Consider the following 27691-nt stretch of genomic DNA (forward strand, 5'->3'; position numbering starts at 1 on the left):
AGTGGGAAAGCCCTGGGGTGGGGGGCTTGCTGTAGTTGGTAGAAGTGGCTGGACAGCAGCTAAGTGGGGTGGAGAAAATGGAGAAGAGGGTGAGCTTGGGAATTCTGGCTTTGCTTTTTTCTGGGAAAGGGTAGGAGCCTTGCACATATATGGATGATTCAAGCTAGAGGGTGAGATGAGGGAGAGCTCCTTGTCCAGCCACACACAGATCCAAGAGCATTGCCCCAGAGCCTAGAGCTCAGAACCCCTAATATTGTTCCACTCCAGTTCCCTTTGGGATCTTTATTATCCAAAAAGTATTTCTTGAGCACCTGCTGTGACCCCAGCCCTCTCCTGGATGCAGGGGTCAATCAGACCTGGTCCCTTTAAGGAGGGAGACCAGTTCGGATAGAAATAATTACTATATGGGATAATTTAGTGCTGAGCACTAAATCTGTAACATGGGGACAATAATAATAGAAGCTACACCAAAGTGTTGGTGCATGGATAAAGTGCTTATCACAGTGCCTGGAGCAAAGTAATGCTTGGTAGAATGTTCTGGAAAGGCTAGGCACCCCAAGAAGAAGGATGGCTCTAATCTGGAATGGTTAGGTCTTGGAAGGGGTGTGGCAAGGATGACTTAGCCAAGTGCCCCCCTTCTATCTGCTCGCACTGCAGCCAGAGTGCTCCTTAAGGTGGTCTTCAAGAGCCTGCCCACCACCTCATCGCCCCCTCACTTCCTGCCTTCTCCTCTTCCTGGCTTCCTTTCAGTCCCTCTGCTTCCTTTATCCGGAATCCTCTTCCCTTGTTACTTCCTTAAGTTAGTTCTTCCCCAAACTTCACACCTCACCTCAAGTGTCGTTTCCCCAGGGAAGCTGTCCTGACCCCTGGGTTTTGTAGACCCTGCCACTTTCTCAATTCGTACCTATATCTTAATGTCATTTTAGGGTTGCTCGCTCTCTCTCCTGCACTGGGCTGTAAGCCCCAGGAAGCAGAGGCTGCATCTGGTTTTGTGTACTAGAGGGTCCCCCCAAATACCCGGCTCTTCTATTAGGCACCCTCAGAATTTTTGTTGAGCGAATGAATGGGGTGCAAGAAAGGCACGGATAATATAGGTTATTTACGGAGCATGTAACTGTCCGCAGGGCACTGCTCTAAGCTCTTTGTTCGAATCATTTTATTCAATCTCCCCAACCACCCTCTGAGGGAGGTGGTACGATTTTCCTCATCTCACAGACAAAGAGAATGAAGCTGAGGGAGGTTAAGTGACTTACACAAGGTCACTCCGCCTGTTAGTGCAGGGGCGGGAGGCGGGATCCACACCCAGGTCCCTCTGACACCAAAGTGGCAAGGGGGTGGGAGGGGAGTCCAGGTTGGGACGGGGTCGCACTCGAGCCGGCGGAGCATCCCTAGGGAGGGGGCGGGAGGCCTCCCCTGCCCAGCTCCGAGCCGGTGGTGCAGCGTCCGCCCCCGGTCGCGGGCGCAGACTGGCGGCCGCCTCCGGGCCACGTGGTGCGCGCGGCGGGCGCGTCCGAGGAGCCTGCGGCTGCTCCTGGCTCACAGCGCTCCGGGCGAGGAGAGCGGGCGGACGCCGGGGGCTGGGCCGGTGCGGGCGGCGAGGCAGGCGGACGAGGCGCAGAGACAGCGGGGCGGCCGGGGCGCGGCAGCCGGCGGCGTCGGGGCCGCGGCCTCTGCCTTGCCGCTCCCCTCGCGTCGGATCCCCGCGCCCAGGGCGCACGGTGGAGAGGGACGCGGCGGAGCCGGCCGGCAGCCATGGAACCGGCCCCCTCCGCCGGCGCCGAGCTGCAGCCCCCGCTCTTCGCCAACGCCTCGGACGCCTACCCTAGCGCCTGCCCCAGCGCTGGCGCCAATGCGTCGGGGCCGCCAGGCGCGCGGAGCGCCTCGTCCCTCGCCCTGGCAATCGCCATCACCGCGCTCTACTCGGCCGTGTGCGCCGTGGGGCTGCTGGGCAACGTGCTTGTCATGTTCGGCATCGTCCGGTGAGTCCGCTGCGGGCCGGCGCCGCAGGGCTGGAGCCCGGGGTGAGGGTGGGGATCACGAACTTGAGACCCCAAGCCCGTTCCCTGGACTCCCCGCGCCTCCGCATTTCCTGCAGGGGCACCTGGGGCCCAGCGAGAGGCGAGGCCACTTACATCGAGGGGAACACAGGAATGTGTGTCATCGTGTGTATGTGTGTGTGTGGTGCGGGGGGGGGAGTGCGCCGCGGTTGACTAAATTACATTTGATCATCTGTTGGCATCCCCTTGCTTCTTTGTGGGACAGTTTGGCGTCAGTTTGTGTGTCTGTCACAGTTTGTGAGTGGATGGTTGTGACAGTACAACTGTATGTTTGGACGTCGGAAACATGCCCATGGGGTGGGCAGAGCTGCTCTGAGGTGCCGCGGGCCTTTGGGGAGACCGGTGTGAGGGCACCGTGCAGGCAGGGCGGACAGGAGGGTGCTGGGTGTCAGCACCTCGCCGTGGGGCCCTTACCAAGTCATATTTGGTGCTCATCTGTTGGTGTGAGCTTGTCCCTAACGGTCAGTTTGTGATTCTGTCTGAATGTAACAATGTGACTGTTGTTTCTTGTCAAGCTCTTGAAACCCCGAGGGCGGCAGAGCATCCGGAGTGGCCGTCGTCCCTGTGTTTGTGCAGCTGTGTGTGCCTTTGCCAGTGATTCCTGGATAACATGGGCGACAGCTGTGGGCCGCCAACCGGTTCTCTGTTCCCTTCGCCAGTGCCCATCTGGTCAGGAATTCTGAATAGGATTCAGAGAAGACTCACGCCCTCCTCACAAATGCCCTCTCCCATTTTCTCTTTGCCTCCTCTAACAGTCTTTTCTTCTGCCAGAGGCAGCAGAGGTTGGTCTGGGCGGGAGTGGATTTTGAGTTTTCATCCCAGGAAGTGAGGTGCTCTTCTTGGAGTTTATGGAGAGTGCTGGGACCTTCTCAGAGAGCCTAAGACGTCAGCTTGCCCCAGAAGTAGCCCTCCTGATACAGCCCCACAAGCTCAGACATGGCCAGTAAGGGTTGAGAGGAAAATTTCCATCTTTAAAACAACAAAGATGCCCTCGTATTTGCTGTTAGTTGAAAATGGGTCCTTCATGCTGGTGGACCAAGGACATGGCCCTAAACCTCTCTGGGCTGTGGGTGCCACCATGCAGGGCATAGGTCAGGTCGTGGACTCAGAGGTTAGAGAGATGAACTGTAGTCTCAGCCTAGTCATGGATGCCCAGGCATCATTCTTCCTGCCCTGCCTCCCATCCGCCTCAGTTTCCCTGTTCGAAGAATACAGACCTAATCTCCTCAATTGGAAAGTATGAATTCCAGGGTATGGGGTCTCTGCAGCGCAGAACGTGGTGTGTTGGAGCATGGGATGAGGTGTGTGGGTGTCAGTGGGCTTCGGCATTGATGATCTCTGGGAGATCTTTGCTCCTCCAGAAAGAGTGGCGGGTACAAGAATTTCCTGTGCTTTCCATGACTCATCACAAGCAACAGTGGGAGAATTCCCCCCAAGCACAGGCGGGACTGATCTTTACTTTGTGTCTTTGTCAGTGATTCTCCCCACTTCGCAGGCTTCGAGGCAGGCCGGCCTGGTATGAATCCCTGCTCTGCCACGAACTGGCTCTGTGACTTGGATGAATCACTTAGCCTCTTTGAGCCTCAGTTTCTTCATCTGTAGAATGACGTAATGATAAATCTTCTTCCACAGGGTTGTTGTGAGGTGTCAGTGAGAGAGCACATAACGCACTGGCCTGGCGCCTGGACCCAGTAAATGGACGCTGTCTGTATAGCGAGGCGGAGGGATTTTCTAGATCCTGTAGAATCTGACTAAAGAAGGGAGCTTGAGGGAGGTGCTTGTCCTAAGGTGGGCCTGAGAGTAGCTGTGATTCTGAGAGCTCCGGATTCCTGGCACCTGCCCTGTCTAGGGGAGCTCCAGGTGCCCAAGTCTGGAAAAAGCCGAGCGTCGGTGTGTTCAGTCTCATTTCCAACCTTTTCCCCGGGGCCTCTGGCTGGTTGGCTGACTGAGCACAGCTTCCCCACTACCACTGAGCAAGGGGAGGGGACTCCCACTGCTGAGGGTCCACTGTGGGGAGGCTCTGGGCTCAGCCTGCTAGGGGCATTCCCACACAGCCTTCCCGGAATCGCATTGCCAAGTGTACGCAAGCAGCTTAGTGGGCCCCTAGGGGTCCCCATGTTGCCAAGACATTTCGCTGGTCAACCATTTATGTGAAAATTGTATCTCTGGGTCTGAATGATTGAATCCTCACCTTCAATCCTATGGGACAGGCATTAGAATCATCATCAGTACCCGCATCCTGCAGATAAAATGAGGAATCTGCAGCTCAGAGACAGGCAAGGTGACTTGTTCTCGGAGGGTACCACAGTTGGCACCAGGCCCAGAGCTAGAACCTTAGTCTGTGACTTAAGTCCAAAACTTTTCTCCAGAGTTGCCTGGGGTAGAGGACAGTCAAAGCATTGTCTGGAAGGAGGGTGGCAGAATTCTGTCCCTCCTCTTTTATTTTTGAGACAAGATTTCTCTCTGTTGCCCAGGCTGGAGCGTCGCAATCACAGCTCACTGCAACCTCGACCTCCTGGGCTTAATGCGATCCTCCCACCTCAGGCTCCTGGGTAGCTGGGACTACAGGCACACGCCATGCTAACTTTAGTTTTTTTTGCAGAGACAGGGTTTTGCCATGTTGCCTAGGCTGGTGTCAAACTTCTGAGCTCAAGCAGTCCACCCGCCTCGGCCTCCCAAAGTGCTGGGATTACGGGCGGAGCCATGGTGCCCGGCTGTGTCCCTCCTCTTGTCTTAGAGTCCTCAGAGAGCAGAGACCTGGGGACTATGCTCCTCTGCGTTTTTCAGCCTGTGCATTTTAGGCTGCTGTCCTTTGGGGAGGCTGAATGATAAGGGCTGGCGCTCAGTCCTTCCCCAGTGAACAGTGAACGAGAGTCTGAGGGCAGGGCAGCTGCCTGGGTCTTGGCTTCTGCTGGAAACACCCCAAGGGCAGTGGGGAGAGCGCAGCCCGGGCTGGAGAAGGGACCCTGCTCCCCTGAAGGGCTCCTCGAGCTGCGCTCCATCTGCGGTTTCCTGGCAGCCCAAGCAGGGCCTGCCACAACCAGTACATGAGCCGGCTGCTGGGTTGAGTGAATGAGTGGTTGAATGAGTGAATTCTGCCTGTCAGTCCTGAGCTTAGGCAGCATGTGGGGGGTGGGGAGCAGGTGTGCAAGGGAAGATTCAGAGACCCTTGGGGAAGGAAAGCCGGGTGGTGTAGTGGGCAGAGCTGTGGCTCTGGACCAGACATATCTGAGTTCAAAGCCACTTACTTGCTGTGTACTCGGGCTAGTGACGAGCTGTCTGAAGCTCTTCTCATTAAAGTGGGAACACCAACAGCGCCTCCAGGGTGGGGGTGAGGATTAAGTGGCATAATGTGTGATATCTGAGCCTTTTAGACCCTAAGCTCTTTGAGAACATGAGGGGCTCTGTGTGAAGGACTGAAAAGAATTAACTCATTCTACAACATTCTACATGCTCTGTGCTAAATGCCAAGAAAAAAACCACACCGTGCTCCAGACCTTCCGGAGCTTAGGGTCTGGTGGGAGACAGACATTCGTCAGCCAGTCATCCAATAAACTGAAGTTTGTAGCTGTGGTAGGGGCTATCTGTGAAAGTATGTGGGGGATTTGGGAGCCCATGATGGGGGCAGGGGAGGGTCTCAGCTGGGCGGAGAGATCAGAGAAGCCTCTGCAGAGCTAAAGGACGAGGAGGGGAAACTGAGTCAAAAGCTGAGGGAGGAGCTGTGGCTGGGAAGCAGGATGCTGATGAGGGCCTGAACGTAAGAACCAGGAATCTCAGAATTCCAGGTCAGAAGCATCCTCCATCCTGCAGGCCCCACACTCTGTCCTCTCTCCCCTCCAAGAAGCTACCTGAGAAGCTGTCTCATCCTGGGGGCCTGAGAGGGGCCTCTGGGAATTGTGCTTTTAGCAAACAGCCTGTGGCTGGAGGGAATGAGGCTTCCATGAAGCGTGAGCAGGACTTCTGTGGACAGGTGGTCCCAAGGCAGAGCATCACCCCCTCCTCCTGCATGTGGGATTGGCCAGCACGATGACTCGTGCTGGCCATGGGGATGCCCTGGTCCTCAGAGCAGACACCGGACAACCCCTTCCTCCGGGCAGAGTCAGTGTCCTCTGCAGGGCTGGCATCTCAGAGACTTCCCATGGGCAGCCCACTGGGTAGGTGTGGTGTGATGGGCTTAGCAGGCCCCTCACCTGTGGCAGGTGACCCCCTCTTCCTCCCGCCTGGCCCAGATCCTGGGTGGCCCGACCCAGAACCTGGGCAAGAGGAGTCAGTGCTTTCCTACCTGGCCTCCTGTCTGTTCCACAGCCTTCTCTGTTTCCCTGCCTCCTCTGCGCCCCGAGCTAGGTTTCAGCAGGTTTGTACCCTCGCAGCATGCCCTGCCTCCTGCCAGCCCCGGCCAGCCTCCATGAGACGCCTTCAGCCTGTGTGCTTCTCTGCCCCTTGATCTCACCTCAGCCCATGTCTCTTCTGATTTGTCTCCTTGTATCAAATGCTGGCTCTGCTACTTACTAAGAGCTTTAGCAAGCCGGATCGCCTCACTGCACCTGTCTTCATCGGGAAGATGTGGGTAATAGTACTATCTCATAGGTACCTTTGTCCTCAGGATTAGATGAGATGATGTTGGCAAAGCACCGCGTTTTCCCTCCTATCTGAGGTGACTGCAGCACCCAGCAGGGAGGGGAGTTGGGCCAGGCAGGTGGGCTGTGGCAGGGTCGGGATAGGTGAATGAAGGGTTCTGGTTATTTCTTCAGTCTCCTGCCGAGGTTCCAGAAGCTGCTGGGGAAAATGCTGAAGTGTCTTCTTAGCAGAATTTGTAGCACTGAATCTGTGTCCTGTTTTTGGAAGCCCCTTGGCTTCTTGTCTCCCTCCCCTCTCTTGGGGTCTGGACCCAGGGCCTCTGGGCCAGGAGAGATTCCAGTGAGATGACACAGTGCAGTGGTAAAGGTTGTGACTAGAGGTCAGGGAGCGCCTGGTCTCTATCCATGTCCCAGAGGTGTGGCTTTGGGCAAAAACAGCTTAACTTCCCTTTTTTTTTGGATGGAGTCTCACTGTGTTGCCCAGGCTGGAGTGCAGTGGTGTGATCTCGGCTCACTGCAACCTCTGCCTCCCTGGTTCAAGGGATTCTCGTGCCTCAGCCTCCCCAGTAGCTAGGATTACAGGCGCTCGCCACCACGCCCAACTAGTTTTTGTGTTTTTAGTAGAGATGGGCGGGGCGGGGGGGGGGTTTCACCATGTTGGCCAGGCTGGTCTCGAACTCCTGACCTCAAGTGATCCGCCAGCCTTGGCCTCCCAAAGTGCTGGGATTATAGGCGTGAGCCGCTGCGCCTGGCTCATTTTATCATTTAAAAAATTGGGGCGATATGACAGGTTATTGGGAGGACTCAAAGAGATCGAGCATGGAAAGGCTGTAGCATAGCACCTGGCATGCCCTGCGCTGTGGTTTCCTGCAGTGGCTGCAGGTGGGCAGAGTGCAGGTGGGCTGTTGAGGCCTGGTCGTCTATGTTTTCCACCTTTGGCCCTTTCCCATGTCCTGCATTGCCTGCACGTGTACTCAGTCAGTAAAGCATTTGCTGATGCTGACCCATGCCAGGCCTGTCCAGCCTCAGCTCTCACTGCCCAGACCCACAGCTTAAACCTCCATACGCCCCCTGGCTCCTAACACAGCTATGTCCCATGCCACCCCCTGGTTAGTTGCAACTCCACAGACAAGTGCAGCTCCCTGGAACTATGGGAGTCCAGGGAGTCTCCAGACCCAGCCAGAGGAGGGGATGCCTGTGCATCATGGAGGGGAGCAGCAGTTGGCTCCCTGGAGAGGTGTGAGTGGAGCATTCCAGATAGAGGGAACCACAGGAGCAATGATTCACCAATTCACCGAGGCTGAGACGAGAGTGTTGGGGACCAGGGTGGCTGTGAGGATGGAGAGGCTGCAGGGACAAAAGCAGGAAAGGCGTCGTAAGCAGGTGTCCTTCTTACCATAGTGTCAAAAGCACCTGCTAGGTGCTGAGCTTGGCTGGGCTCGGGAGCCACCCATGATTCCTGAGGAGATACACCTGGTAGAGTAGCCCCAGGTAATTGGAGGCAGGTGTTCTCATGGGGATGGTGAGAGGGAGGGCTGAGGAGAGGCCTGGAGGCAGGCCCAGCATGACTGTGTGAGGAGCCAGAGGCCGTGCTGAGGTTCTAGTCTGGATGTGGGAGCTGAGGCTGGACAGGTCCTCAGGGGTCCCATGGTAAGGTTGGCGTGCTGGGAAATGAGGAAGCTTTGGGTCACAGGCCATGGGGAGGGGGATTTTGGAGCAATCTGTGCAGAATGGTCTTCAAGAGAATGAATTTGGTGTGGGGGTGAGGGGTGGATTGGATGGGGAGGGGCTCAATGTGGGGAGACTAGAGAGGGTGGCTCAGGGCAATGAAAAGAGAGCCATGTGACCTTGGATGGGGCCATTAAAACCCTGTGCTCAGCTGTCCCCTTTCTGAAATGGAGTGCTGTTGGACCTAACAAGAAGGCAGGAAGCTGTGCATGGTGGTGCATGCCTGTAATCTCAGCTATTCAAGAGGCTAAGATGTTGATCAGACTGGACAACATAGCAAGACCCCATTTCAAAAAAAAAAGGAAGGAGGCAGCAGGAGGAGGCTGGGCTAGATGACTTCTGGTGAGGCTGAGCAGAGAGAACAAGCAGCAGCCCTGGCTGCTGTTCCTGCTGCATCTCTTGGTCTTGCCTGGAGCCTGCTTCTTCCTGGGTCTTGGGTTCATTCCCTGGGGAGTGTGTGTGACTTACAGACGCACTGCGGTGGGTCCATAGGAGTCACTGAGAACACTGAAAAGCCTCTTCCTAAGCTTCTGCCACATGCCAGAGGCTTCTGGATCCAGAGGCCATATTGAGGTTGAAGTATGCAAGCTGCACCACAGCCCTGTGATGGGGGCTTTCTGTTCTCATTTGCAAATGGGGACAAGAAGGCTCAGAGGGAGCGAGTGCCTCTCACAGCAAGAGAGGGGTGGAGTCGAGATTCCAACCCAGGCCTCTCTGACTCCAAAATCACTCCATGTTTCCATCTGCTGCTGCTGTCCATGACATGGCGGAATGGAGGCGAGTGCTGGGGACGTCTAGGTAGAGAAGCGAGGAATGGGGATGGGGTAGAGGGTAGATTGCTGTCTGCAAATCTCTGAGGCCTCTGCATGGGGTGGCAGCAGTTGAGAGCCTGGGCATTGGAGCCAGACTGACCTGGAATTACATCCCAGCGGTGCCATTTACTAAGAGAGTGAGCTTGAACAATACATACACACCCTCTCTGAGCCTCAGCTTTATCATCTGTGAAACGGGAGTAGTGATAGACCCTCACAGAGTGGTTATGAGGAGTTCACGAGGCCTGATATGAGGGACTTCAGCACAGAGCTAGGCATTTGGTATGTGGTCAATAAACATCTTCTGTAATTATGACTATTTAGAAGAGGAGTCACACTTGCTTTGCATTCATTTGATTGACATTTATCGAGCCTCAGAGGAACTAGATTTTTTTTTTTTTTTTTTTTTGAGATAGTCTCGCTCTGTTGCCCAGGCTGGAGTGCAGTGACGCAATCTTGGCTCACTGCAACCTCTGCCTTCTGGGTTCAAGCAATTCTCTTGCCTCAACCTCCTGAGTAGCTGGGATTACAGGTGTGTGCCAACATACTAGGCTAATTTTTGTATTTTTAGTAGAGATGGGGTTTCACCATGATGGCCAGGCTGGTCTCCAACTCCTGGCCTCAAGTGATCCACCTGCCTCAGCCTCCCAAAGTGCTGGGATTACAGGTGTGAACTGGAACTAGAATTATTGAGTGGGTGGTATAGGGAAACTTTATCAACTCAATATTATAAATTTTCAGCTGGGTGCAGTGACTCACGCCTGTAATCCTAACACTTCGGGAGGCAAAGCAGGAGGATCACTGGAGTCCAGGAGTTCGAGACCAGCCCGAACAATATGGCAAGACCCTGTCTCTACAAAAAAATTAAAAAGTTAGCTGAGCATGGTGGCATGCACCTGTAGTCCCAGCTGCTTGGGTGGAAGGATGGCTTGAACCCAGAAACTCAAGGTGACAGTGAGCTATGATTGTACCACTGCAGTCCAGCCTGGGCAACAAAGCGAGATCCCATATCTCAAACTCCTGACCCCAGGTGATCTGCCCGCCTCTGGCCTCCCAAAGTGCTGGGATTACAGGTGTGAGCCACCGCATCTGGCCTGAGACCCCATATTTAAAAAAAAATTTTTTTTTCTTCTACAATAAAAGGTAACAAACTTATTTCAGAAAATGTGGAGAAATTTAAGCAGAGACAGACATTATCCATAATCCTACCACAGAGAAAAGAGCTTTTTCATTTTGGTGTGTTTCCTTCCCATCTCTTTTCTGTCTCTCTTTCTGTTTCTCAATTTTATTTATTTTTATTTATTCATTTTTTTTGAGACAGAGTCTTGCTCTTGTCATCCAGGCTGGAGCACAATGGCACAATCTCGGCTCACTGCAACCTCTGCCTCCCGGGTTCAAGCAGTTCTCCTCCCTCAGCCTCCCAAGTAGCTGGGATTACAGGTACCTGCCACCATGCCCGGCTAATTTTTGTATTTTTAGTAGAGATGGGGTGTCACCATCTTGGCCAGGCTGGTCTTGAACTCTTCTCTTGACCTCAGGTGATCCACCTGCCTTGGCCTCCCAAAGTTCTGGGATTACAGGCATGAGCCACCGTGCCCAGCTTATTTTTATTTTTGAGATGGGGATCTCCTTATGTTGCCCAAGCTGGTCTTGAACTCCTGGACTCAAGTGATCCTCCCACCTTGGCCTCCGAAAGTGCTGGGATTACAGTCATGAGCCGACACACCCAGCTTTGTTTTTCCATTTTAGTGAAATCAGGGTCACATGTCGAAGTCATGATCGCATTGCATGTAATATTTTGTGAGATGCCTATTCACTTAACATTATATGTTAAGCATGTGCTCTTCTAGTTTGAAAACATGATTTTTGATGGCTACATTGCATGAATGTGTTCTTTTTCCAGTGACTTTTATAATTTCCAATATTATGCCAATCTAAATAATGCTGCTGCTGCCCGGGCATGGTGGCTCACCCCCATAATTCCAGCACTTTGGGAGGCCATGGTGGGAGGATCACTTGAGCCCAGGAATTCAAGATCAGCACAGGCAACATAGCAAGACCCTGTCTCTAAAAACAAAAAAATAGTAATCATACATAATGCTGTGAACATTCTTAGACATGTGTGTTTGCGCACATCTCATTATTTCTTTCTTTTTTTTTTTTGAGATGGAGTTTTGCTCTTGTTGCCCAGGCTGGAGTGCAATGGCGCAATCTCGGCTCACCACAACCTCCGCCTCCTGGGTTCAAGCGATTCTCCTGCCTCAGCCTCCCGAGTAGCTGGGATTACGGGCATGCGCCACCATGCCCGGCTAACTTTGTATTTTTAGTAGAGATGGGGTTTCTCCATGTTGGTCATGCTGGTCTCTACCTCCTGACCTCGTGATCCGCCCGACTCGTCCTCCCAAAGTGTTGGGATTACAGGTGTGAGCCACCGCGCCCTGCTATTTCATTATTTCTATAAGGAATTTTCCCACAGTCAAAGCTCTCCAAGAAGGTACGGGCTGCTGTGTAATGTAGGGAGCTTCCTGTCACTGAAGTGCGCAAGTAGACACTGGGAAACCACTGGGTGGAGGTTTGGCCCTGGAGATTCGGGTGGAGAAAAGACAAGCAGAATTGCAGGCCCCTCTCACCATGGCTGAGATTTTATTTTATTGTTTGTTTATCGATTGATTGATTGATTGACTGATTGATTTTAGACGGAGTCTCATTCTGTTGCACAGGTTGGAGTGCAGTGGCGCAATCTCGGCTCACTGCAACCTCTGCTCCCCTGGGTTCAAGCAATTCTCCTGCCTCAGCCTCCCAAGTAGCTGGGATTACTGGCATGTGCCACCATGCCCGGTTAATTTTTTTTTTTTTGTATTTTTAATAGAAACGGGGTTTCACCATGTTGGCCAGGTTGGTCTCGCACTCCTGACCTCAAATGATCCACCTGCCTCAGCCTCCCAAAGTACTGGGATTACAGGCACCCAACCCTGAGATTTTAAAAAGAATGATTTTTAAATGCTGTGATCTCAGGTTCTCCTTCCCCCTTGCCTGGCAGATGTCTGGACTTTGAGAGGCAGGGGGCTGTGCAAGGAAAAGGCATGATTTCATTAACCTCAGAGTCCTGGGACCTCAAAATCAAATTGGCCACACGGAATGTCATAACATGCACAGGAAGAGGGATAATCGTGGGGGTAGAGCAGAAAGTCTGGCTTAAATGAACAATTTACCATCCTCTGCAGGCTATAGTGGCCCCATTACCGGCTGGGAGCTGTGGGGTGGAATGAGGGGGTGTCTGGGTTGTGTTCTACTGATTTATAGTTCCCAGTGCAGCTGCAGAAATCAGCAGCTTTGTCTCTGGCCAGGAAGGGTGTGTGCAGAAAGAATCTTTTCTTCTGTAGTCTTTTTTTTTTTTTTTTTTTTTTTTGACATGGAGCCTCACTTTATCACCCAGGCTGGAGTGCAATGGTGCGATCTCGGCTCACTGCACCTTCCACCTCCTGGGTTCAAGTGATTCTCATGCCTCAGCCTCCCAAGTAGCTGGGATTACAGATGTGCACCACTACACCCGGCTATTCTTTTTTAAATTTTATTTGTTTGTTTATTTATTTATTTATTTATTTATTTGAGACGGAGTCTTGCTCTGTCACCCAGGCTGGAGTGCAATGGCATGATCTCGGCTCACTGCAACCTCCGCCTCCTGGGTTCAAGCAATTCCCCTGCCTCAGCCTCCTGAGTAGCTGGGATTACAGGTACGCACACCATGCCTGGCTAATTTTTGTATTTTTTGTAGAGACGGGGTTTCACCATGTTGGCCGGGCTGGTCTCGAGCTCCAGACCTTGTGATCCGCCTGCCTTGGTCTCCCAAAGTGCTGGGATTACAGGCGTGAGCCACTGTGCCTGGCCAATTTTTGTATTTTTTAGTAGAGATGAGGTTTCACTATGTTGGCCAGGCTGGACTCGAACTCCTGACTTCAGGTGATCCACCCACCCGGCCTCCCAAAGTGTTGGCATTACAGGTGTGAGCCACCGTGCCCAGCCCGTCTTTCTTGATAAGTAGAAAGAACTCAAACTTCAAGGTCCTGTGAGGTCAAAAAAACCCCATTCAGGCCGGGTGCGGTGGCTAACACCTGTAATCGCAGCACTTTGGGAGGCTGAGGTGGGTGGATCATTTGAGGTCAGGAGTTTGAGACCAGCCTGGCCAACATGGTGAAACTTTTTCTCTACTAAAAATAAAAAAGTTAGCCGGGCGGTAGTGGTGCATGCCTGTAATCCTAGCCACTCGGGAGGCTGAGGCAGGAGAATCGCTTGAGCCTGGGAGGCGGAGGTTGCAGTGAGCCGAGATCGCATCACTGCACTCCAGTCTGGGTGACAGAGTGAGAACCTATCTCCAAAAAAAAAAAAAAAAAAGCCCCATTCAAAGAACACCACACAGAGAGAGGCAGAATTTTCCTCCCCTGCAGAAATGAGCTTGTTACCAAGGCATAGAACTGTGACTCATGGATGATGGTTCTTTTTCTTTTTTCTTTTTTTTTTTTTTTTTTTGAGATGGCGTCTGGCTCTGTTGCCCAGGTTGGAGTGCAGTGGCGCCATCTCAGCTCACTGCAGCTCCACCTCCTGGGTTCACGGCATTCTCCTGCCTCGGCTTCCCGAGTAGCTGGGACTACAGGCGCCCGCCACCACACCCGGCTAATTTTTTTTTTTGTATTTTTAGTACAGACAGGGTTTCACCGTGTTAGCCAGGATGGTCTTGATCTCCTGACCTTGTGATCCGCCCGCCTCGGCCTCCCAAAGTGCTGGGATTACAGGCGTGAGCCACTGTGCCTGGCTGATGGTTCTTTTTCTTGAGTACCTATTTTGTGCCAGGCACCCTGCCTAGAGATGTATATATATTATCCCATTTAATTTTTGCAGACCTCGTAGGAGGTGAGTGTGTTGCCCCCATTGTATACATAAGGAAACTTGAGGCTCAGAGAAACGACATAACATGCCCAAAGTCCCAAGATAATTTTGAAATCAGAAGAGTGTTGTTCTGAACCCAGAGCCCACACTCTTTTTTTTTGAGACGGAGTCTCGCTCTGTTGCCCATGCTGGAGTGCAGTGGCGCGATCTCGGCTCACTGCAAGCTCTGCCTCCCAGGTTCACGCCATTCTCCTGCCTCAGCCTCCCGAGTAGCTGGGACTACAGGTGCCCACCACCGCGCCCGGCTAATTTTTTTTTGTATTTTTTGTGGAGATGGGGTTTCACCGTGTTAGCCAGGATGATCTCGATCTCCTGACCTTGTGATCCACCTGCCTCAGCCTCCCAAAGTGCTGGGAGTACAGGTGTGAACCACTGCACCTGGCCAGAGCCCACACTCTTAACCATTGCCTTGTTCTCTGCCACCTTGTATGTCAAGTTCAGCCCCTCTGATTTACAAATGAGGAAACCGAGACCTAGAAAGGTTCTGTGTCTTTTGAGTCCATGGCCAAGGCTGGACTAGAACTGCTTTTCCTATCCCCTTGCTCCCTCTCCTTGTGTCTCTTTGCACAATTGGGATTTTCCAAAGTGAGAGAGAGGCAGGGAGTGGCTGGAAATAGCAGTACTTGGGAACACAAGAAGTAGGTTCTTTTTTTTGAGACAGAGTCTCACTCTGTTGCCCAGGCTGGAATACAGTGGCACGATCTCGGCTCACTGCAACCTCCACCTCCCGGGTTCAAGCGATTCTCCTGCCTCAGCCTCCTGAGTAGCTTGGATTACAGGCGCACGCCACCACATCCGGCTAATTTTTGTGTTTTCAGTAGAGACAGGGTTTCATCATGTTGGTCAGGCTGGTCTTGAACTCCTGACCTTGTGATCCGCCTGCCTCAGCCTCCCAAGGTGCCAGGATTACAGGCGTGAGCCACAGCGCCCAGCCCAAGAAGTGGGTTCTTACACAGGGCAGCCTGGCCTAGGGGCTACTGATAACACATGATAGGCCTAAAGAACTCCAGGTTCCCTGGGACAAGGCCAACAGCAGGGAGGCAGCCCTGTCCTTCATCAGCAGGTGGACTAGGGTTCAAATCCAGCTTCTTGCTGGCTGTCCACTGTTGAACTCAGCGTGCTGTCTGTTTTCTCATCTGTGAAATGGGGATGATAGAAAAACTCTACATCATTGGGTTGTCCCCCCTGAAGTACCAGGCACAGTTCTAGGTACTTGGGATGCAACAGTGATGAAGACACAGTCCTTGCCCTCATGGAGCTGACAGTCTAGTGGGGAAAAGATGGACAGTAAACAAATAGATATAAGGCTAAGGCTATAGGCAGTGAAGTCAACCGAAACAGGCATTGGGTGAGAGGGTGGCGGGGCTGCAGTTGTACAGGCATACCTCAGAGATACTGTGGTTTGGGTTCCAGACCACTGCAATAAAGCAAATATCTCAAAGCAAGTCACACACATTTTTTGGTTTCCCAGTGCATATAAAAGTTGTTTACAGCTGGGTGTGCTGACTCATGCTTGTAATCCCAGCACTTTGGGAGGCTGAGGTGGGCAGATTGCTTGAGCTCAGGAGTTAGAGCCCAGCCTGGGCAACATGGCAGAACCCTGTCTCTACAAAAAAATACAAAAATTAGCCGGGTGTGGTGACATGCACCTGTAGTCCCAGCTACTCGGGAGGTTGAGATGGGTGGAGCCCAGGAGGTCAAGCCTGCAGTGAACCGAGATCACGCCACTGCAGTGCAGCCTGGGTGAGAGAGCCAGACCCTGTCTCAAAAAAAAATAAAAAAAAAAGTTGTTTATACTGTAGTCTATTAAGTGTGTCATAGTATTATGTCTAAAGAAAAATATACATACTTCAATTTTAAAATACTTTTATTGCTAACAAAATACTAATGATCATCTGAGCCTTCAGCAAATCATAATCTTTTTGCTGGTGAAAGGTCTTACCTCAATATTGATGGCTGCTGGTTGGGGGTAGTGGTTGCCGAAGGTTGGGGTGGCTGTGGCAATTTCTTAAAACAAGGCAACAGTGAAGTTTGCTGCATCAATTGAGTCTTTCTTTCATGAAAGATTTCTCTGTAGCATGCGATGCTGTTTGATAGCATCTTACCAACAGTAGAACTTTCAAAATTGGAGTCAGTCCTCTCAAATCCTATTGCTGCTTTATCAACTAAATTAATGTTATATTCTAAATCCTTTGTTGTCATTTCAACAAAGTTCACAGATCTTCTTCACCAGGAGTAAATTCCATCTCAAGAAACCACTTTCGGCCAGAAGCGGTGGCTTACGCCTGTAATTCCAGCACTTTGGGAGGCCAAGGTGGGCAGATCCCTTGAGGTCAGGAGTTCAAGACCAACCTGGGCAACATGGCAAAACCTTGTGTCTACAAAAAAATACAAAAATTAGCTGGGCGTGGTGGTGTGCGCCTGTAGTCCCAGCTACTAGGGAGGCTGAGGTGGGGGGATTGCTGAAGTCCGGGAGGCAGAGGTTGTGGTGAGCTGAGATTGCACCACTGCACTCCAGCCTGGGTGACAGAGCAAGACCCTGTCTCAAAAACAAAACAAAACCAAAAGAAACCACTTTCTTTCTTTTTGATTTTTGTCTCACTGTGTTGCCCAGGCTGGAGTGCAGTGGCTACTCACAGGCACGATCATAGCTCACTACAGCCCCAAACTCCTGGGCCCAAGTGATCCTCTTGCCTCAGTCTCCTGAGTAGCTGGTAGTACAGGCGCATGCCATTGCGCCTAGCTTCAAGAAACCACTTTCTTGCTCATCTATAAGAAGCAACTTCTCATCCATTAAAGTTTTTTCATGAGATTGCAGCAGCAGCAATTCAGTCACATCTTCAGGCCCCACTTCTAATTCTAGTTCTCTTGCTATTTCTACTACATCTGCAGTTACTTCCTCCACTGAAGCCTCGAACCCCTCAAAGTCATCCATGAGGGCTGGAATCAACTTCTTTAAAACTCCTGTCAATATTGTTTTTTTCTTTTCCCCCTGCTCAGAGACACAGTCTTAGTCTGTTGCCCAGGCTGAGTGCAGTGATCATAGCTCACTGCAGCCTCAAACTCCTGGGCTCAAACTATCCTCTTGCCTCAGTCTACCAAGTTGCTGGGACTACATGTGTGTGCCACCATGTCTGGCTAATTTATTTATTTTTTATTTTTATTTTTTGTAGAGCCGGAGTTTCTGTGTTGCCCAGGCTGGTCTCGAGCTCCTGGCCTGAAGGGATCCTCTCACCTCAGCCTCCCAAAGTACTGGGATTACAGGTGTGAGCCACCACACCTGGCCACAAATGTACCTAATGGCAACTAGAATGGTGAATTTTTTCCAGCTTTCAGTTTCCTCTGCCCAGATCCATGAGAGGAACCACTATCTATGACAGCTGTAACCTTACAAAATGTATTTCTTAAATAATAAAACTTAAAGGTTAAAATTATTCCTTGATCCGTGGGCTACAGAATGGATGTTGTGTTAGTAAGCATGAAAACAACTTAATCTCCTTGTACATCTCCATCAGAGCTCTTGGGTGACTAGGTGCATTGTCAATAAGCGATAATATTTTGAAAGGAATCTTTTTTTCTGAGCAGTTTGTCTCAACAGTGGGCTTAAAATACTCCATCAACCATGCTGTAAACAGATGTGCTGTCATCCAGGCTTTGTTGTACCATTTATAGAGCACAGGCAGAGTAGATTTAGCATAATTCTTAAGGGCCCTAGGATTTTTGGAATGGTAAATGAGCATCGGCTTCAATTTAAAGTCACCAGCTGCATTAGCCCCTAATGAGTCAGCCTGGCTGGGTGCGGTGGCTCATACCTGTAATCCCAGCACTTTGGAAGCCGAAGAGGGAGAGTCGCTTGAGCTCAGAAGTTCGAAGCTGCACTGAGCTATGATCGTGCCACTGCATTCCAGCCTGAGTGACAGAGTGAAACTCGATCTCTTAAAAAAAAAAAAAAAAAAAAAGCCAGGCGCAGTGGTTCACGCCTGTAATCCCAGCACTTTGGGAGGCCAAGGCAGGTGGATCACCTGAGGTCAGGAGTTTGAGACCAGCCTGACCAACATAGTGAAACACTGTCTCTACTAAAAATACAAAAATTAGCCGGGTGTGATGATGTGCACCTGTAATCCCAGCTCCTCGGGAGGCTGAGGCAGGAGAATCGCTTGAACCCAGGAGGTGGAGGTTGCAGTGAGCCGAGATTGCGCCACTGCACTCCACCCTGGGTAACAGAGTGAGACTCTGTCTCAAAAAAAAAAAAAAAGGAGAGAGAGGGAGCATCAGTCTCTCCTTGAAGCTTTGTAACCAGGCACTGACTTCTCTCTAGGAATGAGAGTCCTAGATGATATCTTACTCCAATAGAAGGCTGTTTTGTCCCCTTGAGAATCTGTTGTTTAGTGTAGCTGCCTTCATCAGTGATCTTTAAAGCCCCATGGACCAGCCTCTGCCACCTTCAAACTTGTCTTCTACAGTTTCCTCACCTCTTTCAGCCTTCTTAGAATTAAAGAGAATTAGGTCCTTACCCTGGATTAGGCTTTGGCTTAAGGGAATGTTGTGGCTGGCTTGATCTTCTATCCAGACCACTCAAACCTTCTCCATATCAGCAGTTAAGTGTATTTTGTTTCCTTTCTTTCTTTCCTTCTTTTAAGACAGAGTCTTGCTCTGTTGCCCAGGCTGGAGTGCAATGGCGCGATCTCGGCTCACTACAACCTCCTCCTCCCAGATTCAAGTGATTCTCCTGCCTCAGCCTCCTGAGTAGCTGGGATTACAGGTGCCCGCCACCACACCAGCTAATTTTTTGTATTTTTAGTAGAGATGGGGTTTCACCAGGTTGGCCAGGCTGGTCTCGAACTCCTGACCTCAGGTGATCCACCCACCTCGGCCTCCCAAAGTGCTGGGATTACAGGCGTGAGCCACCGTGCCTGGCCTTCTAGATTTTGATCTACAGTGCAAGACATGCGACCCTTTCATTTTCTTTTTATCTTCTGAGACAGGGTCTTGCTCTGTCGCCCAGGCTGGAGTGCAGTGATGCAATCATGCCTCACTGCAGCTTCAACTGGCTGGGTTCAAGTGATCCTCTTTCCTCAGCCTCCGAAGTAGCTGGAACTACAGGTGCGCACCACCATACTCAGCTAATTTTTTAATTTTTTGTAGAGATGGGGACTCACTTTTTTCCCAGGCTGGTCTTGAACTCCTGAGCTCAAGCAATCCTTCCAGCTCAGCCTCCCAAAGTGCTGTGATTATAGGTGTGAGCCACTGCACCTGGCCCTTTCTTTCACTTGAACACTTAGAGGCCATTGTAGAGTTATTAATTGGCCTAATTTCAATATTGTTGTGTCTCAGGGAATAGAGAGGCCTGAGGAGAGGGAGAGAGATGGGGCAATGGCCAGTCAGTGGAGCGGTCAGAACATACACATTTATCAATTAAGTTCATCCTCTTACAGGCGTGTGGTTTGTGGCACTCCAAAACAATTACAGTGGTAGCATCCAAGATCACTGATGGCCAGGCACGGTGGTCATGCCTGTAATCCCAGCACTTTGGGAGGCTGAGGTGAGAGAATCGCTTGAGCCCAGGAGTTCGAGACCAGCCCTGGCAACATAATGAGACTCCATCTCTACAAAATGAAAAAAACAATAGCAAGGTGTGGTGGGACATGCCTGTAGTCCTAGCTACTTGGGAGGCTGAGGTGGAAGGATTGCTTGAGCCTGGGAGGTCGAGGCTGCAGTGGGCTGTGATAGTGCCACTGTACTCCAGCCTGGGCAACAGAGTGAGGACCCAGTCAAAAATAAAACAACAACAACAACAACAAAAACACTAATCACAGATAACCATAAGAGATATAATTATGAAAAATTTGAAATATTGCAAGAATTACCAAAATATGACATAGATACAAAGTGAGCACTTGCTGTTGGAATAATGGTGCTGATAACTTGCTCATAGCAGGGTTGCCACAAACCTTCAATTTGTAAAAAACACAATATCTACAAAGTGCTTTAAACGAGGCATACCTGTATATGGAGAGGTCAAAGAAGAGGAGACAAATGAGCAGAGGACTGTTGCTTGGAGGAAGAGTGTTTTAGGCAGAGGGAACAGCAAGGGCAAAGGTTAAGGGGGATGATGCTGTATGGCTTTAGCACAGGGCCTGGCCCACAGCAAGAAGCCATTGGTGATAATGAGGCCTTTTGGATCATTGCCCAGCACCTGGGAACCAGGGCAGGAATTAAGCCAGAGCGGAGATGCTGCTTCTCCTGGCCCCACCAGATGCTGTCCCCACCAGATGCCCCTGCAGGACAGATGGAGATAATCTGTTTCCCTTGGTTACAAAAACTCATCCTCCCACAGTGCTGGGAAATACCCCACATCTAGTGATTTTCCATTCCTCCCTGAGGGGAGCGAATGGAGCTGTCCTGCTGGGAGGGGCAGGTTAGCCACAAGACACTCCTTCCACCTGCCTAGGCCTTGTTGTCCCATATAAGAGAGGGCTCGGCCTGGTGTGGTGGCTCACACCTGTAAGCCCAGCAATTTGGTAGGCCGAGGTGGGTGGATCACGAGGTCAGGAGATGGAGACCATCCTGGCCAACATGGTGAAACACTGTCTCTATTAAAATACAAAAATTAGCCGGGCGTGGTGGCGTGCGCCTGTAGTTTCAGCTACTCAGAAGGCTGAGGCAGGAGAATCGCTTGAACTTGGGAGGTGGAGGTTGCAGTGAGCTGAGATCGTGCCACTGCACTCCAGCCTGGGCGACAGAGTGAGACTCCGTCTCAAAAAAAAAAAAAAAGAGCTCAACAGCAAAGCATAGCATACTGACTCGGTCGGAGTTAACACCAAAAATAGAACTGCTGACTTTTTTCTTTCTTTCAGTGATCATGGCTCACTGCAGGCTCAACTGCCCAGGCTCAAGTGATCCTCCCACCTTAGCCTCCTGAGTAGCTGGGACCACAGGCACCACCATGCCTGGCTAATTTTTTTATTTGTAGAGATGAGGTCTCACTATGTTGCCCAGGCTGGTCTTGAACTCCTGGGCTCCAGTGATCCTCCTGCCTTGGCCTCCCAAAGTACTGGGATTACAGGCATGAGCCACCATGCCTGGCTGACCTTTTTTGGATGCTGACAAGGTGGCCAGCTTTGTGCCAAGCTCTATGTGAAGCATTGCACATAGGTTATTTCATTTAATTCAGCCAGCTCTATGAGTTTAGTACCATGTTTCTCTCCATTTGACAGATGAGAAAACTGGGGCTCAGAGATGATAATTCACTTGCCCAGGGCCACAGTTAGGAAGTGGCAGAGCCAGCCTTTGAACTGAGGCCCCTTGACTCTCAGAGCTCAGATGTACAAAGTGTCCATGAAGCAGTGTCCATGAAGCAATGTCCATGAAGAAGGCTGAACCTATGATACCCTCTGATTTCCACTGTGGAAAAATGACTTTTTGATACAGCCAGGGATTGGGAGAGGCTGTGGAACAGAGCAGACTTATTTGTAATGTCATTAAAATAATTTAAAAAATAATCCATTGTTAATAAACAAAAGGAAAGAGAAGCTCTTTTGGGTCCCAGGCAGAGAGATGGCATAAGAAGTAAAGGCCAAGCTCAGTGGCTCCTGCCTGTAATCAAGTCGGTAGGAGGCCTGCTTTGGGAGGCCGAGGTGGGAGAATCGCTCGAGCCCAGGAGTTCAAGACCAACCTGGGCAGCACAGGGAGACCCCATTTCTACAAGAAATACAAAATTAGCCAGGAATGGTGGCACACACCTGTAGTCCCAACTTCTTGGGAGGCTGAGGTGGGAGAATTGTTTGAGCCCGGGAGCTGGCGGCTGCAGTGAGCTGTGATTGCGCCACTGCACTCTAGCCTGGGTGGTAGAGTGAGACTCTGTCTCAAAAAAAAAAAAAGTAACATACAGCATGGCCAAAGGCCTGGAGTCTGCCTGGGCTTTTTGGAATGCCTGGCTTTGCATCTCAGTTCTGTTCATTCTACACTCCTGGATGAGCGCCTTTCATCTTTGGGTCAGTTTCTTCTATAAACAAAATGGGAATATACTGAGACCCACTTCCTGGGGTGTGTGTGATTCAAATGAGAGAACATGTGTGATGCTCTGAACAGGGGCTCCCTAGCCCATTGTCTTCAAAGGGTATTTCTTTGCTGGGGAGCTGGGTGGGTACAGGTTAGGGAAACTGTAACATCTACATCACTGTCACTAAGAATAATAAACTTGTGGACATTATTTACGTGGAATTGTGGGACTGAAACATTAAGCTGGCAGATGGTGAGGACTCAAAATCATGAAGAACCGAGAAATTACAACTGTGGAAAAAATGAGCCTGTGTTTGACAAGATTAGAAGGCTCTCTACAGGAGACCTTGCATGCAAAATCTCACTGAGTCTTCACAACACTTCTATGAGGTAGGAACAATGTAATGTGCCCATTTTACAGGTGAAGAAGCTGAGACTCAGAGATGAAAGACTTTTGCCTAAGGGCACCTGGTTAGTAAGTGTCTGACAGCAAAGCCCCCCATGTGATGGTGGGTGTCACTGCCCTTTTCCAGCTCAGGAGACTGCGTGGCTCTGTGGCACCAGCCTTGGCCTAGAGCGTGGGCTTTGGGTCTGTATCAGGCATGATCCTATCAGAGAAAAAGCACCAGTAGGATATATTTCAGGGAGTTGGCTTATACCGTTGTGGGGTCTGGCTGGGCAAGTCTGAAAGTGGTAGGTGGAAAACTCAGGCAGGAGCTGATGCTAGAGGTGGAGTTTCTTCTGAGAAATCTGTTTTGTTCATAAGGCCTTTGAACTGATTGGAAAAGGCCAACCCAGATGATCAAGGATAATCTCCTTAAAGTCAGCTGATGGCAGATACTAACCACAGCTACAAAATCCTTTCACAGCAACGCCTCGATTAGTGTCTGATAAAATAGCCGGGTACTATAGTCTAGCCAAGTCGACACATCAGACTAACCATCACGGGGCCAGACAGACCTGGGCTTGAGTCCTGGTACTACAACCTGTCAGCTGTGTTTCGTTGGGCAAGTTTCCCTGACTCTCTGATCCACAGTCCCCTCATCTACCAAATGCCGTGGTAGTGCTTACTACATTTGGCTATCAGGATTAAATGCAATGATATAAATCACAGTGCCTTCATCCAGTGCCTGTCACCTAGAGAGAGGGAAGACACACACAAAAGTAGGTGGTCACAAACCAGTGTTCTGTTTTTTTGTTGCCCAGGCTGGAGCGCAGTGGTGTGATCTCGGCTCACTGCAACCTCTGCCTCCTGGGTTCAAGTGATTCTTCTGCCTCAGCCTCCAGAGTAGCTGGGATTACAGGTGCACTCCACCATGCCTGACTAATTTTTGTATTTTTAGTAGAGACAGGGTTTCACCATGTTGGCCAGTTTGGTATCGAACTCCTGACCTCAGGTGATCCGCCCACCTCGGCCTCCCAAAGTGCTGGGATTACAGGCGTGAGCCACCGCGCCCAGCCTTGAACCAGTGTGTCCCCATGACAGTGCTGCTGCTTGTTTCTGTGCTTGCATTCCCTTTTACCAGTTCCTCCTGGAGGGCAGGAACTGTGTCACATTCATCCTCAATCCTGTTTCGTAGCTTAGTCCCTCACCCTAAGGAGGCATCACTAAGTATTTCTTTCTTTTTTTCTTTTTTTTTTTTTTTTTGAGATAGAGTCTTGCTCTGTCATCCAGGCTGGAATGTAGTAACTCGATCTCGGTTCACTGCAACCTCCACCTCCTGGGCTCAAATGATCCTTCCACCTCAGCCTCCTGAGTAGCTGGGACTACAGGTGTGTGCCACCATGCTGGGTAATTTTTAAATTTTTGATAAAGATAAGGTCTCCCTATGTTGCCCAGGCTGGTCTCGAACTCTTGAGCTCAAGTGATCCTCCCACCTCGGACTCCCAAGGTGCTGGGATTACAGGTGTGAGCCACTGTGCCCATTCAGGTACTTCTTAAATATCCAGATGGCACTTTGTTAACGAGATTTGGTCTGTAGAGTTGTTGGGATCTATAATAAAAATCACCCAACTACGAGACAAGAGGGCAGTAAGATGTGCAGGAACCTCAGGCTGCTGTCTCCTTCAGAGAAACCCCTGACTTTTCAGCTTAGAAAGTCTTTCCTCCAGGGAGCCTTCTCTGATTGCTCCTCACCGCCCTTCCAGCCAACAGGTAACCCTCCTCTATGTTCCCACAGTGTCCTGTGTGTCCCCCGCCATTGGAATAGGGTCTATGCACTATTTCAGACACCTGTTTGCTCCCCTGTTCTGCTCTCCCCACCATGAGTGGGTGTGGGGTAGAGGGAGTATATCCTTTGTTCATAGCTGGAGCCCCAGCAGAGGGTCCAACACTCAGACAGCATGTCACTAGGTGTTTGTACAAAGGACCTGTCCTATTTCCAGAGGTCCAGGGTCTGATATGCCACATCCTTGTGGGAGTCTGCGTTCTTGGGCCCCCATTGTGCCTGCTGCCCCATCCCTGGTCCAGCCACCCCTAAGCCAGAAGCAGAGCCAGGGTGGTGGGGAGGAGCTGCTCTTCCCTGGCTGCCATGAGTGTGTTGTTCTTGAACTGAGGTGAACGAGGCATCTGTCCTGCTTCTTGTTGAGTGTGACCTGGCTGGCCTCCCTGCTCATGTTCAACTCTGGGGCCTGGATTTCTCTGTTCCAGCCTTTAATCTTCTCCTATGACATGCTCTCTGGGCTTCATTATAATTAACCACTTTCCTTCCTCAGGCTGTGCCAAAACTGAGACAGCTAATTAATTTCTGGCCACTTGCCACTCTCGTTAAGTGGTGGGCAGGGATGCAGCCTGCAGCTCTTGCTGCCCAGCTGGGCTTGTTTTGCCAGTCGTGGAGGGCAACCACCCTTTGTCTGCAAATAGAGGGAGCCCCAGCTGGACCCCGGCTGACTGGCAGTAGCTTCATTGAAGCTATTTGTTCCCCCACAGTGGGCAGAGCCTTTGTGATCACTGTGGTAGATGTGCCTTGGTTTCCTCATTTGTAAAATCAAGGGAATGAACTTGACCTGCAGCAGGGAGAAGATTGGGTGGTGGTTAGGAGTGTGGGTTCTGGAGTCCAAGGAACCTGAGACCCAAGCTAGGCCCTGCCATCCCTAGCTGTGGGCCTCTGGGTGAGTTACTTCATCCCTCTGAGCCTCAACATTCCCCACCTGTAAGATGGGGAGAGCAGTGCTCACCTCCTGTGGCGGTTGTGCGGATTCAGTGGGTTATGGAGCACATGGCTGCCACTTAGGAGGGAGACTGGCACATAGTGAGCGCTCGTAAACGCTCTACCCAGACATCTCTCCTTCTAGGCTAACATTCTATATTCTTGATGGAAAAAAGGCCTTCTGTTGTGAGAGCTGGGGTGTGGAGCAATTTTAACAGACATTGCTTCTGTGTTTAGGCCATGCCTGGTGAGATGGTTAGCCCCTTCGTATAGTTCCCTAGGGCTGCCATAGCAAATTGCCATAAACTGGGTGACTTAAAACATAAGACATTTCAGCCAGGCGCGGTGGCTCACGTCTGTAATCCCAGCACTTTGGGAGGCCAAGGCGGGTGGATCACAAGGTCAGGAGTTCAAGACCAACCTGGCCAATATGGTGATACCCCGTCTCCACTAAAAATACAAAAATTAGCCGGGCTTGGTGATGTGCGCCTGTAGTCCCAGCTACTCAGGAGGCTGAGGCAGAAGAGTAGCTTGAACCTGGGAGAGGTTGCAGTGAGCCGAGATCGCGCCACTACACTCCAGCCTGGGCGACAGAGCGAGATTCCATCTCAAAAAAAAAAAAAAAATTAGACATTTCACAGTTCAGGAGGCTAGAAGTCTGAAATCAAGGTGTTGGCTGGGCTGTGCTCCCTCCGAAGGCTCCGTGGAAGAACGCCTGCTGGCCCGGCTTCGGTGGTTGCTGGCAATCCTTGGCATTCCAGCTACCTCACTTTAATTTTTTCCTGTTTTCACATGGCCATGTATGTCTCTGTGTCTTGTGTCCTTTGTTTGATACAGGGCCTCTCTCTGTTGTCCAGGCTGGAATGCAGTGGCATGAACACAGCTCATGACTTCCTGGGCTCAAGCAATCCCAAGTAGCTGGGACCAGTGTGTGCCACCATGCCCAGCTATTTTTTATAGCAGCGGTCCCGAACCTTTTTGGCATCAGGGACCAATTTCGTGGAAGACAAGTTTTCCATCGATGGGGGCAGGGTGGGGGAACGGGGATAGTTTCAGGATGATTCAAGCTCATTACATTTATTGTGCACTTTATTTCTATTATTATTACATCATAATATATAATGAAATAATTATACAACTCACCGTAAGGTAGAATCAGTGGGGCTCCTGAGCTTGTTTTCCTGCAACTAGGTGGTCCCATCTAGGGGTGATGAGAGACAGTGACAGATCATCAGGCACTAGATTCTCATAAGGAGCTTGCAACCTAGATCCCTTGCATATGTAGTTCACAGTAGGGTTCACGCTCCTATGAGAATCTAATGCCATTGCTGATCTGACTGATCTGACAGGAGGCGGAGCTCAGGTGGTAATGCGAGCAATGGGGAGTGGCTATACATACAGATGAAGCTTCACTCGCCCACTGCTCACCTCCTGCTCTGTGGGCTGGTTCCTGTAAAACAGGGTTGGGGACCAGGTGCAGTGGCTCACACCAGGAATCCCAGCACTTTGGGAGGCCAAGGCAGGCAGATCACGAGGTCAGGAGATCGAGACCAGCCTGGTTAACATCATGAAACCCTGTCTCTACTAAAAATACAAAAATTAGCTGGGCATGGTGGCGTGCACCTGTAGTCCTAGCTACTCGGGAGGCTGAAGCAAGAGAATCACTTGAACCCAGGAGGCGGAGCTTGCAGTGAGCCAAGATCGTGCCACTGCACTCCAGCCTGGTGACAGAGTGAGATTCCGTCTCAAAAAAACAAAAAACAAAAAAAACAAAAAAAAACCCAAAAAATGGTTCGGGACCCCTCTTTTATGGAGAGTCTCACCGTATTGCCCAGGCTGGTCTTGAACTCCTGGACTCAAGTGATCCTCCTACCTCAGCCTTCCAAAGTGGGATTACAGGTGTGAGCCATGACACCCAACTCTCTCTTCATGTAAGGACACCAGTCATATAAGGACCCACCCTAATCTAGTATGACCTCATCTTAACTAATTACATCTGCAAAGTCCCTATTTCCAAATAGTGTCACATTCCGATGTTCCTGGTGGACATGGATTTTGGGGCACACTATTGAATTCAGTATACCCTCCCAAGGCTTACTTTCCTCCTCTGTACACTGAGGATGGCAGCAATTTCATAGGGTTTTTGGAGTGATTAAATGAGGTGATCTCTGTAAATGTCATAGTAGCATTCGATAGAATGTGTCAGTTGTGTAAGCACTGAGTCCACATAGCTGCTGAGATGGAGATGGTGGTGAAATGATGATAGTGATTGAGATGGTTCCATTCATGGACCTACCCTATGCTGGTTAATCACTAGACACAGGGACCTAGAATGTAGACATCTGCCAAGAGCCGGGACCTTGTCAGAAATTCTGAAGTCTTGGACAGGATTCTCCTTCCCCTTTAGCCTCAGCCACCTTGAA

General features: G+C 50.8%; 1 protein-coding gene across 1 annotated transcript in view, besides 3 other annotated features; it reads left to right on the forward strand.

The window, feature by feature from the left end:
* The first annotated feature begins 1538 nt into the window (after positions 1 to 1538).
* Positions 1539 to 27691, forward strand: part of OPRD1 (opioid receptor delta 1) — a 59098-nt gene continuing 32945 nt past the window's right edge. Inside the window, exon 1 of the mRNA NM_000911.4 lies at positions 1539 to 1979. Coding sequence (NP_000902.3) covers positions 1753 to 1979 — 227 coding nt within the window. The 5' untranslated portion in view covers positions 1539 to 1752. The remainder of the gene's footprint in view (positions 1980 to 27691) is intronic.
* Positions 4476 to 4977: an enhancer, noted in NCBI's record as "H3K4me1 hESC enhancer chr1:29141619-29142120 (GRCh37/hg19 assembly coordinates)". NCBI's record gives its function as "activates a minimal SCP1, AML or CMV promoter by ChIP-STARR-seq in naive H9 embryonic stem cells {active_cell/tissue: H9 hESC(naive)}" and the evidence as "EXISTENCE:reporter gene assay evidence [ECO:0000049][PMID:30033119]".
* Positions 24527 to 25027: an enhancer, noted in NCBI's record as "H3K27ac hESC enhancer chr1:29161670-29162170 (GRCh37/hg19 assembly coordinates)". NCBI's record gives its function as "activates a minimal SCP1, AML or CMV promoter by ChIP-STARR-seq in primed H9 embryonic stem cells {active_cell/tissue: H9 hESC(primed)}" and the evidence as "EXISTENCE:reporter gene assay evidence [ECO:0000049][PMID:30033119]".
* Positions 25028 to 25528: an enhancer, noted in NCBI's record as "H3K27ac hESC enhancer chr1:29162171-29162671 (GRCh37/hg19 assembly coordinates)". NCBI's record gives its function as "activates a minimal SCP1, AML or CMV promoter by ChIP-STARR-seq in primed H9 embryonic stem cells {active_cell/tissue: H9 hESC(primed)}" and the evidence as "EXISTENCE:reporter gene assay evidence [ECO:0000049][PMID:30033119]".

Source organism: Homo sapiens, chromosome 1, assembly GCF_000001405.40.
Source record: "Homo sapiens chromosome 1, GRCh38.p14 Primary Assembly".
Lineage (NCBI taxonomy): Eukaryota > Metazoa > Chordata > Mammalia > Primates > Hominidae > Homo > Homo sapiens.